This window comes from Homo sapiens, chromosome 22 (assembly GCF_000001405.40).
Source record: "Homo sapiens chromosome 22, GRCh38.p14 Primary Assembly".
Taxonomy (NCBI): Eukaryota; Metazoa; Chordata; class Mammalia; order Primates; family Hominidae; genus Homo; species Homo sapiens.
Genome location: NC_000022.11, coordinates 49,421,277 through 49,436,136, shown reverse-complemented (window position 1 = coordinate 49,436,136; position 14,860 = coordinate 49,421,277). Strand labels below are relative to the sequence as shown.

At 47.6% G+C, this 14,860-nt stretch overlaps 1 long non-coding RNA gene across 2 annotated transcripts in view, besides 2 other annotated features; it reads left to right on the top strand.

Annotated features, from left to right (window-relative positions):
• Nucleotides 1-14,860, top strand: part of MIR3667HG (MIR3667 host gene) — a 242,996-nt gene that overhangs the window by 221,383 nt on the left and 6,753 nt on the right. The window lies entirely within an intron of this gene.
• Nucleotides 1,817-2,699: an enhancer, noted in NCBI's record as "H3K4me1 hESC enhancer chr22:49827087-49827969 (GRCh37/hg19 assembly coordinates)". NCBI's record gives its function as "activates a minimal SCP1, AML or CMV promoter by ChIP-STARR-seq in primed H9 embryonic stem cells {active_cell/tissue: H9 hESC(primed)}" and the evidence as "EXISTENCE:reporter gene assay evidence [ECO:0000049][PMID:30033119]".
• Nucleotides 2,700-3,583: an enhancer, noted in NCBI's record as "H3K4me1 hESC enhancer chr22:49826203-49827086 (GRCh37/hg19 assembly coordinates)". NCBI's record gives its function as "activates a minimal SCP1, AML or CMV promoter by ChIP-STARR-seq in primed H9 embryonic stem cells {active_cell/tissue: H9 hESC(primed)}" and the evidence as "EXISTENCE:reporter gene assay evidence [ECO:0000049][PMID:30033119]".

Genomic DNA, 14,860 nt, shown 5'->3' with positions numbered 1-14,860 from the left:
GTATAATTTTGAATGATAATTTAAAAACGAATGTGTGTGAAGAGTCATATTTTACACAGAGAAGAATTCGTTGCTTGAGGTCCTGTGAGCAGCAACAAGGCGAGGCAGGGGCTCAGGGTGCGGTCGGTCTCCCTGATGGTGGAGGTACGGGCATGGGTGAGGAAGGCGAGTTATGGACACAGAAACCAGCAGGGGCATGGCAGCCAACTTAGGCAACAAGCAGGACTTGCTTGGTGAGGACAGTCTGTGGAGAAATGGTTTCTATCCAAGGGAAGCGAAGCACCAGCATGGGTCACACGGCCAGCATGGGTCACACGGCCAGCATGGGTCACATGGCCAGCATGGATCACACAGCACGGGTCACACAGTCAGCACGGATCACAGGGCGTCCACCTGCTGGAAGCCAGGCATGCTGAACGCGGTGTCAGCTTGGGCCTCAGCGAGATGGGCTCACAGGGTGTCCAGTGGGGCCAATTCCTGCAGACACTCCGCTAAAGGAATTGATGTCACCTGACTTGAGTCCATGTGGGCGCTGCAGGCTTTCCCTCCCATGTCTGTATTCCTGACATGACAGGCAGCTCTCGGAAGCCTGTAAGGTGCGTATACATGACTGTGCTTACAGCAAAGAAGGGGGTTCTTGACAGACCGAGGGTTTTGTGAGAAATCCTGCGATGATAAATTGCACACATCAAATTAAAAAGGGAATTTATACCCCTGGGCACCTCTGTTTAAGGCGGGACATTTCTGCTGAAGCATCTTAAGGGAATTGTAATCGGTGCCCCCAGAACGAGGAGGAAAGGCCTCTCCTGACTCAGAAAATCCAGTTCACTCGCCTGTGTCTGTTTCCTTGAGTCTAAAGTTCTGGTAATGGATTCTTTTTTTTTTTTTTTTTTTGAGATGGAGTTTCACTTGTTGCCCTAGCTGGAGTGCAATGGCGCGATATCAGCTCACTGCAACTTCTGCCTCCCGGGTTCAAGCGATTCTCCTGCCTCGGCTTCTCAAGTAGCTGGGATTACAGGCGACCGCCACCACGCCTGGCTAATTTTTTGTATTTCTGGTTGAAATGGGGTTTTGGCATGTTGGCCAGGCTGGTCTCAAACTCCTGACCTCAGGTGATCTGCCTGCCTCGGCCTCCCAAACTGCTGGGATTACAGGCATGAGCCACTGTGCCCAGCCAAGTTCTGGTAATGGATTCTAATGCATGGTTTCCTGAGGGTCGAGTGAGTTGATAGTTATCTGCACAGCACTTAGAATAGTGCCTGAAATGTGGTCACTATAATTGCACTCCATCCACGAAACAAGAACAAGTAACTTTGAAAAAAGCCAATGAAAGATCATGGGAACAAAAACACAGTTGCTGAAATAAAAGCACATCACAGAGCTGTGGAGGCCTCTGACCCATTGCCCCTCTGGGCTTCACTGACCCACCCGCTGCCCTGCCAAACGCACGTGGGCTTTGCCGGAATCCCTTCTCTAGATTCAGCCTTTAACGAGTGAATTGTAGTCATCAGTCAAAGCCCAACAAAACCCAAACACAGAAGCCCTTCCACTCTGGGACCATCCCAAACCCGCCAGGCTCGCCTCATGGGAACCTCCATGGGACTTCACGGAAGGGCGACGACCATCCCAGTGCGATGCCCTCAGCACACTCTGCAGGTGTCACTTCTCCTTGTTCTCGCTTGGTTATTGGTGCAGGTTATTAGGACAGGAGCAGCTCCCATGGGGGACGTGTGAGGAGGCTGTGGGATGGGGCTCCAAGCTCCTGTGACGAGGACAGCTTCAGCCGGTTGTGCCACCTGGCGGCCACACTGCCCTAGAGAGCGGGGCTGGGGAGGATGTGCCCAGTTTCCCTCTTCCTGAGGCTGCCTCGGGCGAGCTCTGCCCGCCTCAGCCTGTCTGAGGACCAGGGTTGCCGGGACAGATCCAGGTGGGAGGTGGATTTGTGATTTGTTCTCCGGCTTCCTGAAGTGCCTGGAGGACACCAGTGCGCCAGCCACAAAGCCAAGAACTGGATTCTTTCTCATCCGTCCTGGGGTCTGCGTCTCAGCTTCCTCATCTGCCCCGTGAGGATGGTCACAGACGTGGAGAACGGCTCATCTGAGGACCTCTGAGGATGAGAATGACACGGACTCAGCTGTGCCCTGAGCCCTCCAGCAGTGCCGCCGGCTCACTCCTGGCCGGTGCTGAGGACTGAGGACGTACCCACGGCCAGGAGGCTAGCAGGGGGTTGGGCGAGCAGGAGCCAGCTCTTCCCTGATGCTGAGCTGCAAAACGATTCTCGTCCAGCCTTCGTCTTCCGTCCTCCCCCACGGTGGCTGACCAACCACCACCCTCTACTGGCCCTGAGCCCTTGGAGATGTCAGCCCCTGTGTGCAGCGCCAATCCACAGAAACTGAGGAAGGCCTGGTGCCCCCGCTTAGATCCAAGACCCCAGGTGCGGGACACCTGTGGAGAGGCCACCCAAGTCCATCCCATTGGCTTTCACCCTCTCAACTCCCCGGCATTTCTCATGATGGGGCAGTACTGGTGACCTTCCCCAGCAGGGAGAGGGCGGATGGACAGCCACTGCCTCTGCTTCCCGGCAGGGAGAGGGCGGATGGACGGCCGCTGCCTCAGCTCCCCGGCATTTCTCATGGTGGGGCAGTACTGGTGACCTTCCCCAGCAGGGAGAGGGTGGATGGACAGCCACTGCCTCTGCTTCCCGGCAGGGAGAGGGCGGATGGACGGCCACTGCTCAGCTCCCCGGCATTTCTCATGATGGGGCAGTACTGGTGACCTTCCCCAGCAGGGAGAGGGTGGATGGACAGCTGCTGCCTCAGCTCCCTGGCATTTCTCATGATGGAGTAGTACTGGTGACCTTCCCCAGCAGGGAGAGGGTGGATGGACAGCCACTGCCTCAGCTTCCCGGCAGGGAGAGGGCGGATGGATGGCCACTGCCTCAGCTCCCCGGCATTTCTCATGATGGGGCAGTACTGGTGACCTTCCCAGACAGGGAGAGGGTGGATGGACAGCCGCTGCCCCAACTCCCTCTCCCCGGCAGGGAGAGGGCAGATGGATGGTCGCTGCCTCAGCTCCCGGGCAGGGAGAGGGCGGATGGATGGCTGCTACCCCCTGGGAGAATTGTCCGCAGCCCTGGGAGGTCACAGAGGCAAACCTGGAAGATGGATGGCCACTGAAAAAAGCCAGAACGCTTGTTTCCAATAGGAACGCTTGCAATTTGCATTAATTAGCAAAGCAGTGGTGATTATAGTTATGACCTAGAGAACAAATGGGAGTACGCATCTGTGTCTGTCAGGCTGGGACATGGACGTTAAAGGCACATGGAGGCAGCTTCACGCCCCTGGGGCCGTTGGGAGGCTGAGTTCCCTAGTGCCCGCCTTTCCAGGGTTGCTTTGTGAAGAGGGACCCAGACAGAGTGTGTAGGCTGCAGGCTGGGGATGGGACCTGGAGGAGGCCAGCCCAGGGCCAGTGCTGAGGCAGGGGCAGGCGGGGAGCTCAGCCTCTCTTCCCCCGCCGGGAATTTCACATGGGCTCAAAGGCAAACAAGGAACAAAGAAATAGCAAGCCCCAGCGACAGCACACCTGCCCCAGAACACCCCCCTCTCAGGCCTCCGTTCTCCTGACAACTTTCTAAGTAACTTTAATATATAGCATTTATTCTAAACATGCAATTTCCTGCCAGTGCCAAGTGGTTCCCAAGGAGCCATTTCTCCACTTGTGTGGATGTCGCTGCCTCCGAAGGGTGGAGCCGAGGGGAGCACAGGAGGTGCTGTCTCCTCCCCAGGAGTTGCCAAGGGCGGCGGTCAAGCTGAGGTCCAGGTGGGATCAGGGCGCTAGAATCTAAGAGTCCAGTCGATCGTTTTTTGCTGTTTGCTTTCCTTTGTGGAACCTCTCCATGCACGTCCTCCTCAAGGCCATGGTTTCTCTAATTATTCCGATGTCTTTTCTTTTAATCTCTTGAGCATATGTAACATTTTGGGGATGCAGATAAATCGGGCTTGGAGGAAATCTTATAGCTTTAATTGCTTATATTAGAAAAGAAGAAAATTTAAGATTGGTAATCTGACTTTTGAACATAAGCAGATAGAAAAGCAACTTAAAGGAGTGAAAAAAATCAATGATAAAATATGAGCTATAAGTTGATGGTGTAAAAAAACTAATAGAAAAAATACAATAAAACAACAATAGAAAAATTTCTGTGACAGTATTAATAAATTGTATAAATGTCTAACAATGTAAGACATGGCTGAAGAATAAACATAAGTTCTGGAGAGCTTGATTATCTATTAAAGAAATAAATTGTAAACCTTCTCCAAAGGGAAACCACAGAGACACAGGTTTTTACTTGTGAATTCTGAAAAACAAGAAGTCAGGAAAAAATCACACCAGTTCTACACAACACTTCCCCCAAATGGAAGAGGAAGTAACACTTCCCAGATTTTTTTTTTTTTTTTTGAGATGGAGTCCCGCTCTGTCACCCAGGCTGGAGTGCAGTGGTGCTATCTTGGCTCACTGCAACCTCCACTTCTCGGGTTCAAGCCATTCTCCTGCCTCAGTCTCCCAAGTAGCTGGGACTGCATGTGACTGCCACCACGCCTGGCTAATTTTTGTATTTTTAGTAGAGACAGGGTTTCCCGTGTTGATCATGATGGTCTTGATCTCCTGATCTTGTGCTCTGCCCTCCTCAGCCTCCCAAAGTGCTGGGATTACAGGCGTGAGCCACCGTGCCTGGCCAGTCAGTTCTTTTTATGAGGTTAGCAACACCATGACACCACACTCAAGAAAGTCATAACGAGAAGAGAAAATGACAAATGTTCTCCGTGGATATGTGTGGAAGAATGCTCTGCAAAACATTAGCAAACAGAACCTGGCAGTCTACAAAGCCATAATAAAGACTACTTACTGTAGATGACGATTGATGGGTGCAGCAAACCACCACGGCACTTGTATACCTATGTTACAAACCTGCATGTTCTGCACATGTACCCCAGAACTTAAAGTATAATTTTTAAAAAAAGATTATAACAATAAAAAAACAGACTGGGACCAAGGGAGGCCCTGCGAGGTGGATTCAACATTCAAAAACTAATCACTGCCATTTACTTATTAACAGAATACAGGAGAAAACCATAACATGTTATTAATAGATGAAGAATAATAATTTGACAAAATTTAACACTTATTCATGACAAAACTCAGCCAAATAAGATAGAACAAAATTTCCTCCTGATGAAAATCATCTCTATGTATAGATGTATAGTGTATATAGATAATCATGTATCTATATTATACAAGTGACACCACACCAAATATTGTGACATTAATTGTTTTGTCTCAAGATCAGGAAAAAGTGAAGAATGTTCACTCACACCTATTTAGCAGTGCACTGGAGGTTCTAGAGAGAGCATCGAGGCAAGAACAATAATTAAAATGCATTTATATAGCAAGAGAAGAAGTAACATTTTCTCTGTTTGCAGGTGACATGATTGTGTATGCAGAAAATTCTAACAAATCTACAGAAAAATTATAAGCATAGTAACAAGGTCAACATGCAAAAATTGTCATAATTGTGTAAAAGAACAATGAACAACTGGAAAGTGAAATAAAAAATCCATTTACAATAGCAGGAAAAATGTATTTAGGAATCAATTGTGTGAAAGCTATCCCAGCTGTTTACACTGAAAGCTAAAAAACTCTGCTGAGTGAAATTAAATAAGAGCTAAAGGTATGGGAATAGATGTATGGCACATGTATGGGTTGGGAGAGTAAATATTTGCAAGATAACTCTTCTTTCCAAATTTACTTATCCTGATAGTCTTTTTAAAAACGAAATAGAGGCCGGGGTGCAGTGGCTCATGCCTGTAGTCCCAGCACTTTGGGAGGCCAGGGCAGTAGATCACCTGAGGTCAGGAGTTCGAGACCAGCCTGGCCAACATGGTGAAACCCCGTCTCTACTAAAAATACAAAAATTAGCTGGGCATGGTGGCGGGCGCCTGTAATCCCAGCTACTCAGGAGGCTGAGGCAGGAGAATCACTTGAACCTGGGAGGCGGAGGTTGCAGTGAGCTGAGATAACGCCACTGCACTCCAGTCTGGGCAACAAGAGCAAAACTCTGTCTAAAAAAACCCCAAAACACAAAATAGAAATTAAAAAGCTGGTATTAAAACATTTACGGTGATGTCAAGGATCTAGAGTAGCGAAACAATTTTGAAAAAGGAGAACTTTCTCTAACCTGTGTCATTTGGATGTATAACTGTATTTTTTTTTTTTGAGACGGAGTCTTGCTCTGTCGCCCAGGCTGGATTGCAGTGGTGCAATCTTGGCTCACTGCAACCTCTGCCTCCCGGGTTCATGCCATTCTCCTGCCTCAGCCTCCCAATTAGCTGGGACTAAAGGCGCCCGCCACCACGCCTAGCTAATTTTGTTGTATTTTTTAATAAAAATGGGGTTTCACAGTGTTAGCATAACTGTATTTTTTACTACATTCTTACAAGTTCTCCTTTTTCACTCCAGGACATAACGTACCTGGAAGTGCTTCCTGTGGATGGTGAGGCAGGGGTACGATTAATCAGGGCAGGATATTCTGTGTTGCTGGGGGAAAGTAAAAGGACAGCAGGAATCTCAGTGGCAGAGATGTTACCTCCCAGGAGTCTCACACCCTGGTGTGGGCTGGGGGCTGCCCTCAGAGCTCTGCAGACAGGTGGTGACTCGGGGATTCAGGCTGCTCCTGGGCCCCCATGCTGCCATCTTAAATATGTTCCTCCGAAGGACAGTCACCAGAGCTGAGGCTGGAGGTGGAACAGGCGTTCTCAGGGTTAGAATGGGAAGCATTTCCACCTACGCTCCAGGAGCCAAAAACTCAGCCACGTGGCCCCCAGTTGGAGGGAAGGAGAGCTGGGAAATGCAGTCTCCCTGTGTCCCAGCAGGGGAGCTGTGACAAACACACAGCGTTTCTTCCTCAGGACCTGATGAACGGTTTTGCATTCACCTGTTTCTTTATTTTAAATTTTTCAGTCAATTGTCTCAGCCATAATATTTCTATAACACCACTAATGTTGTTTCCATACATGTGTGGATCTATTTTTGAGGCTTCTGTTAGGATCTCTTTGTCTCTAAGTTCATACCCCACTGCCTTAATTCCTATAATTTTAGAATGTCCCTATTACCATAATTGCTTGTTAGTGTTGATCATAGGCCAGGCGCGATGGCTCAACGCCTGTAATCCCAGCACTTTGGGAGGCCGAGGTGGGCAAATCACCTGAGGTCATGAGTTCAAGACCAGCCTGGACAATATATGGTGAAATCCTGTCTCTACTAAAAAATACAAAAATTAGCCAGGCACGATGGTCTACACTTGTAATCCCAGCTACTTGGGAAGCTGAAGCAGGAGAATCACTTGAACCCGGGAAGTGGAGGTTGCAGTGAGCCAAGATCGCACCACCGCACTCCAGCCTGGGAAACAGAGGAAGACTCTGTCTGAAAAAGCACCCCCCACCCCCCAAAAAAAAGCCAGGTGTGGTGGCTCATGCCTGTAATCCCAGCACTTTGGGAGGCCAAGGTGGCTGGATCACCTGAGGTCAGGAGTTCGAGACCAGCCTGACCAATATGGTGACACCCTGTCTCTACTAAAAATACAAAAATTAGCTGGGCGTGGTGGCCCGCGTCTGTAATCCCAGCTACTTGAGAGGCTGAGGCAGGAGAATTGCTTGAACCGGGGAGGCAGAGGTTGCAGTGAGCTGAGATTGTGCCACTGCACTCTAGCCTGGGTGATAAGAATGACACTCCGTCTCAAGAAAAAATAACAAAAAGGAATGTTGATCATAAATGATCCTGTATGTTATAAAAATATTGCCCCATTTGAATACACCCTGAGCCTCAGCTTCCTGATTTGCAAGTGAACATGGAGCCTCCGCATGTCTATCTGAGAATTCCGTGATGAAACCAGGCATGGCATGTGACAAGCTCAGCCACAGCGGTCCAGCAGCGGCTCCACGCTTCCCTGAGCCAGTGGTGAAGGGAGGTGGCAAAGAGGAGCAGGTGGGGCCAGCAGGCAGCCCGGGTTTCTGGAAGTTCCACGCCTTCTTTTTACATCGATCTTAAAGAGGATGGTACAAAAGAAACCCTATTCCTGATGGGACCATCCCTTAGTGTGAGAGGTTAAAGTTGAGAGACAGAAAGAGCTTGGACTGAAGGGTCGGGGAGCTTCTGAGATGTGGAGGGTGGCCCCAGGTGAGGACCAACTGTGAGGAGCCAGGGGCTGGGAGGGGCTCCTCATTGGTTGAGAAGATAGTTTTTGGGCTGAGGCGAGGATGCTAGCATGCCTTCACAGGGTACAGCTCAGGAGCTTAGATTCTACTCAGGCCAATGCAGTGGGTCAGGTGAAGGATCCCCCACCCCGGTAGGAAGAGAGGCACAGATTTACACAGAGTCTGTGGTGTGGGCCCAAGTAGGGGGTACCGGCAGGTAGGTGGGGGGGGTCTAAGGGAAAATGGTGGACACCCAGTCAGAAGATCCAGCATGAATTGGTGAAGCTGAACTCCATGCTCCTGATGTCCCCAGGGCTGGGAGCCACAACCCCAGACCCACTGCAGAAGGCTGGGCCAGTGGTGAGTGTGGGGCTTGGATGGGGACCTCCTGTCCTGACACTCGTGGCCCAGCTGGAGTGAGGCTTCTGGTGAGCCCCTGAACGGGACCAACGCTGCCATGATGTTGTTTTTCAGAAAGATGGACTGGATGCAGAATAGCCAGGGACACCTGTCCCAGGCCTCATGCCATGAAGCTCTCACTCTTCACAGAAGGAACTGAGTCATGGCTAACAAGGTTGCAGTCACCATGAAGGGAAAATGCCAGGTCAGCCAACCTGGGGCAGAATTATATACACTTGTATATGTGCACCCACAGATGCACACATGCATGAATGCATGCATACACACATGGACACACACATATGCATACACATGCATGCACGCACACACACACCTACACATATAGAAATGCACACAGATGTGCAGAGACGCACGTGCACACATACATGGACACATGCACACATACGCACACACACACATGGACACATTACATACATGCATACACACATGCACACACATACATGGATGAACACATGCACACACAGACACACATGCACACACACATACACACGGACACACGTCCATATAAGACTGCTGATTTTATGTGTCCGCTTGGCTACGCTGTGGTGCCCAGTTGTTTGCACAAACACCAGTTTGGACAGTGCTCTGAAGGTGTTGTGTAGATATGCTTCACAGCCACAACAGCTGACCTTAAGTGGGTGGCCCTTGAGCATGTGGGGGACCTCACCTGGTCAGCTAGTGGCCTTGAGAGCAAAACAGATTTCCTGGAGGAGATGGAATTCTGCCTCGAGACTAACACAGATGCTCTGCCCAAATCTCCAGCCCACTGGCCTGCCCTACAGATTTCAACCTTGTCAGCCTCCATAACTGCATAAGCCAGTTTCTTAAAATAAATACACACACACACACACACACACACACACACACACACACACACACACACGATCTGCATACATGCCTACCACACATACTCAAGATGGGACCACCAATTTCCAGCCCAGGCAAACCTGCATCTATAGAGAATTTGAGGACGACTTTCTGGGAAGCCTGGGCATATAACACATAGACTCAGCCTCAGGTGCAAATTCGTATCAATGTGGGTGATTGGGAGAAAATGTGATGCTTGAAAAAGCAGAGAGAATATTTTAAAAGTTAAAACTCAGCCACCTGCGTCTAACAAGGGTTGGTGCTGAAGCCACTTCTGCAGGCGCTGGGCGAATTTTCATGCCTCAGTAGCTTTGCCAATCCAAGCCGGGAGGCGGGGGGTGCAGGAGGAACACAGACGGCCCAGAAGCAATGTTTTTTTTTCACTTTGTTTTCCTGGAGGGAATTAAAATAAAAGCTTAGAATGATTTTTTTTTTTCTAAGAAGAAGAATAGAGAAATGAACACTCTTGCTTTCTGCTGGAAAATTAGATTGTCCTCAGGATACAGAATTCATCTCAGGCAGTTTCCATCAGCAGAGAAAGCTGGAAATTCTTACTTCCAAAGTCCCAGAAGGAGTTCTTTCAATGTTTCTCATGATTTATTTTAACTTTTTCTTGAGAAGATCAGGGAAAGAGTCAAACTACACAAAGTTTCAAACTCAGAAAGATGAAAGAAATATTTCTAGTAAGCAATTTAAATGATCAAGGTGTCACTAATTGAAAAGCTACATTTCATATGTTTTTCTTCTTCCTTCTACGTTAGGCGCTAAACATGATTTTCTTAATGTTCGCAAGTCTGTGGGAAAAAGATATTTTTATACATAGTGGGTAGGAATGTCAACTGGAACAAAATTTTAAAGGCCAGTTTAACAAAGTGAATCAAAAGTTAAAAATAATACACTTAAGCAGTGAGCTGTGAGAATCGGCTTTTCCACTTCAGATGTTGAGCCCCCACCCACAGCCCTCCAAGGGTCTGTAACAGTGCGTGATGCCAGGTATGAGTCAGAGCACGGGTCCCCAACCCCACGCATACCGGTCGGTGGCCAGTTAGGAACGGGGCCCTGTAGTGGGAGGTGAGTGACGGGCGAGAGAGCATGACCGTCCTAGCTCCACCTTCTGCCGGATCAACAGCAGCATCAGATTCTCGTAGGAAGGCGAACCCTATTGTGAACTGCGCAGGAGGCTCCAATGCCTGATGGTCTGTCCCTGTCTCCCATCACCCTCAGATGGGATCCTCTGGTTGAAGGAAAACAAGCTCAGGGCTGCCACTGATTCTACATGATGGTGAGTTGTGTAATTATTCTATCATATATTACAGTAGAATAATAATGGAAATAAAGTGCCCAGCAAATGAATCATCCTGAAATCGTTCTCCACCCCACTTCCATCCGTGGGAAAATTGTCTTCCAAAAAACCAGTCCCTGGTGCCAAAAAGTTGGGGACCGTTGCATGAGAGAGCCGCAGGTGATAGCAGAAAGTTGCCGTCCTCATCAGCAGCAGGGTAACTGAGGCAGCCAAGGAGAGGTCAGGAGACTGAGCCCCAGCAGTTAGTTCACTCTGTCACCAGGTCCAAGTGAGGCGGGTCCCAGCTGAAAACCAGGAGGTGCGCCGTGGTCCCATTTTAGCATTTTAAGGTACACAGACATAGAGAAAGCCTGGCACAGCATTGAAGTTTGAACTCTGACTTTCGCTGGGATAACGTTGCAGGTATGTTTGATTCCTCGTTGGCACTTTGTTCAATTTTGCGGGCAGGATTCAGTGCACCTCCTCTGAGATACCAGGGCTCCACACAGCCCTGAGCGGGAGCTTGGAGAGGGACCTGTGTGCTGAGCAGCTGGGGATCAGGGAGGAAGCAACAGTTTTGTGTGTGTGTGTGTGTGTGTGTGTGTGTGTGTGTGTGTGTGTGTGTGTGGTGGGGGTGGAGGTCTCAAGGAGGAGGAGGTAGAGATACCCAATGCCTAGGCGGCTGGAGAAGGCGGGCAGTGCTGAAGCCGGGAGCCTATGGAGCATCCTGGTGGGAATTCTAGCAGAAGTCTCCAGAGAAGGTGATGGTTGGTGAAGAATCGGGAGAGAAAATGATGCAGGGACGGATCATGAAAGGCTTTATCCGTTAAGCTCAGCCTTCCTACCCTATGTGGAAGCCACAGACGCCCCTGAGAAGCTCAGCTTGGAGAAGTGTTGGAAGACTTTCATTCTAGAGCTCCCTGTCTTGGGGAGGGGCTGGCAGCTGTGACAGTCGACAGGAAGAAGGCGTCTCTCTATGTTAGCAGTTGCAATAACCCTTTCTATGACATGTTTACGAGTTTTCAAGTTTGCAAGAGGTTGGACTGGAATAGGAGCCAAATGAAGAGGTGCATTTTTAAAATCCACAGCCCCACGATCCTTCAGACAGCTGGAGCTCTTCCTCACATCGATTTGCAATACATATTTTCAACCTCGCTGACTCACTCCTGTTAATTAACTAAAGCTGTGCCAGTGTCCCAGAACTGGAGCTCATGGGAGACGTGTGTGCTCACACCGATTCAAGGGGAAAGAGAAGATTCAGGGAAGTCAGGTTGAAAATCTCTAGTTCTAAAAACATTATTTTCTTCCTGCAAAATTGTGCATTTCTACAATTATTTTGATAGTATGAAGTCTCAGCCATTGCAAACCAGCATCCGCGTTTTTCCCTTTATTCTAAGTTGGACGGCAGTCCTTCGGACACTCAGTCCTGGGGACAGGCACAGATGCGCTGAACAATGTCCAGGTGACCCCTGAACGTGGGGCTTCCCTGAGCCCCCATATTCTCTTTATTTGCTCATCATGAAGATTCCACGATAGGGCCCATTGTAAAATACTTATTACCTAAAAAAACAAAAGTATCAATGAATTCCACAGTAGACATCTTTGAATGAAAATTCATCTTGCCCACAGCCAACCAGCAGCCCCGGGCATGATGGAGACAGAGATGGCAGCCTCTAGGCGCTGGTGACCTCCTCCCCCTCCCTTCCTGATGTAGTGCGGGAAGATGGGTCCAGGATGGGATTTCCAGCCCCGGCCACACACAGAGACACTCTCCTGACTTTTGGTGCAAGCTCCTCTGCGAACTGTTGAACCAGTGCTGCATCACGGGGTGGGTAGGACTCAAGAGTGACGCCCTCTGCCTTCACCCAACACACAATGGGGTAGGTAAGACTCAAGAGCGATGCCCTCTGCCTTCACCCAACACACACACACGTGCACATGGCCGCTCGTCAGGGTTGCTGCAGGTGTGGGGGCCTCGGGGATGGAGACAGGGATACCCACGGGGCGTGCACCTGCCTCTGTGCCTGACGCCCTGGAAGCACTTTCTGTTTCGAAAGCTGTGCTGACGGGGTGGATCAACGGTGCTCTAGCCTCCACAGCAATTCAGAATGGTTATCACCCTTTCATTCTTACATTGTTGCCCCAAACTTTTCCAAATTGGTAAGCACTCAAGTCAGGCTAGAAATGTCAAAGGCAAAACACGAACAAGTGAGAGGATGGATTTGCTTCAGGCCAAGAGCACCCAGGCCTGCAGATATCACATCACAGCCAGGAGGCTTCCTAAGCAGGAAAACCCTCTCTCACTCAGACAAACATAGGACATGTTTGTCTCTGTGCCCAGCTGGCTTTGGGGTCACAAAGTTCTGTTCCTAGTGAGTCACTCATGAGGCAGACATTGAGGAGTTGGTTAGGGGTGGAAGGGGAAGGGCCCCTGTCCAGTCTTGTCAGCAGGTCCATTAAGGGGAAAGGTCTGTGTCTGGTCTGGCCATAGGTCAACAAGGGAGTCAGAGGTGAGTCTCACAGGAGCTGTGACAGAGAAGACAGATAATCTTCTTGTGGCCGAGAAGGAAGACAGACTCAGGTTGAAGACTGCCCAATGGAAGGCACGGTAAACAATCCCCAAGAAAGGGAATCTTGGGTGATGTGAGTCAGCTTTGCATCACATGGACTCTGGAATTTAATTCCTACGGGTTAATAAACCTCCTCTATGTTGGACACATAGACAATCATATATGTCATATGGGTGAAAGCTACAAGGCATTATGGTAAAAAGAAAAACCTGTGAAACGAGCTTCTAGCCAAACCCCAGGAGTGTTATCCTTTTGTATTGTTCAGTGACTTACCTGTTTTCTATTGATTTTTTTTTGTTTCAGATCAATAGCTTCTTTTGTTAGTTGTACGTTTCTAACTTTATACAGTTTATGACTTTGTCACAAGCTAATGGCATCTTGCTGAACAGGTATTTTACATTTTAACATAAACAATCAGTTTCTAATTTTATGGTTAATGTTTTTATGTGCTTGCGTACTTGGTTGCTTAACGGAATTGTTCTCTACCATGAGATGGTTTTATGTTACGGTATTCTCAGAATTTTAAGGTTTGCCTTTCACATTTAACCCATCTGAAACTTATTTTTGCATATAATGTGTGGTACGGATTAAATTTCATTTCATCTTTAAGGATTCTGTTTGCTACATGTTTCTGGTAGATTAAATTTATTGGGTTAAGAAGGTATTATCCTATTTATATTTTACAAGTTTTTAAAATAATGGATAAACATTAGATTTTATGAAATACTTTTTTGCATATGTTAATTGTAAGATTTTTCTCATTTAATAAGTGAATTTGGTGAGTGAAAATTATATATTTTTCTTATGTATTCCACTCTTGCATTCCTTGGATAAAACAAACATAATTTTTAATTGATTACTGGATTATTCTATGAATATTTTTGCATAGAGTTTTAGCATGTGTATTTGATTTTGTTACCAAAGTTATAGTCAGCTAATTTAAGGATTTGGAGACCAAATTTATTCCTCTTCTAGTCTTTGTAAGAGTTCCTATAAGTAGAGGATGGTCTATTCCTGGAAAGTTGACAGAATTCACCTCTAAAACCATCTGGATCTGGTGTTTATAAGTATATACTAAATGTATTGAGTATTTATAGGACTGTCAGAATTTCTATTTTTTCTTAAGTCAGTTTTGATTTTTTGAAATGGTTTATTTTATTTAGGCTTTCAAGTATATCTTATAAAGTTGTTCAAAGTTTTTTCCTTCTATCTTTCCAACATCTGCTACATTACCAGCTGGTCTCTCAATTGCCTTATTAATAAAATCCAATAGTTTCTTATCTTCTTTCCTCTTTATTAATCTCACAAGACACTATTTATTTGATCAGTCTTTTCACAACACCTACTTTGTTATATATTTTTCTATGTTTTTTTCTCTAAAGTCTTTAGTTGATTTGTTTTCAGCTTTTCTTATATTTAATGCCTTTTGTTTTCCATATTCTGGTTTTATAGTCTATGCTGTTTTCTCAAAGCTC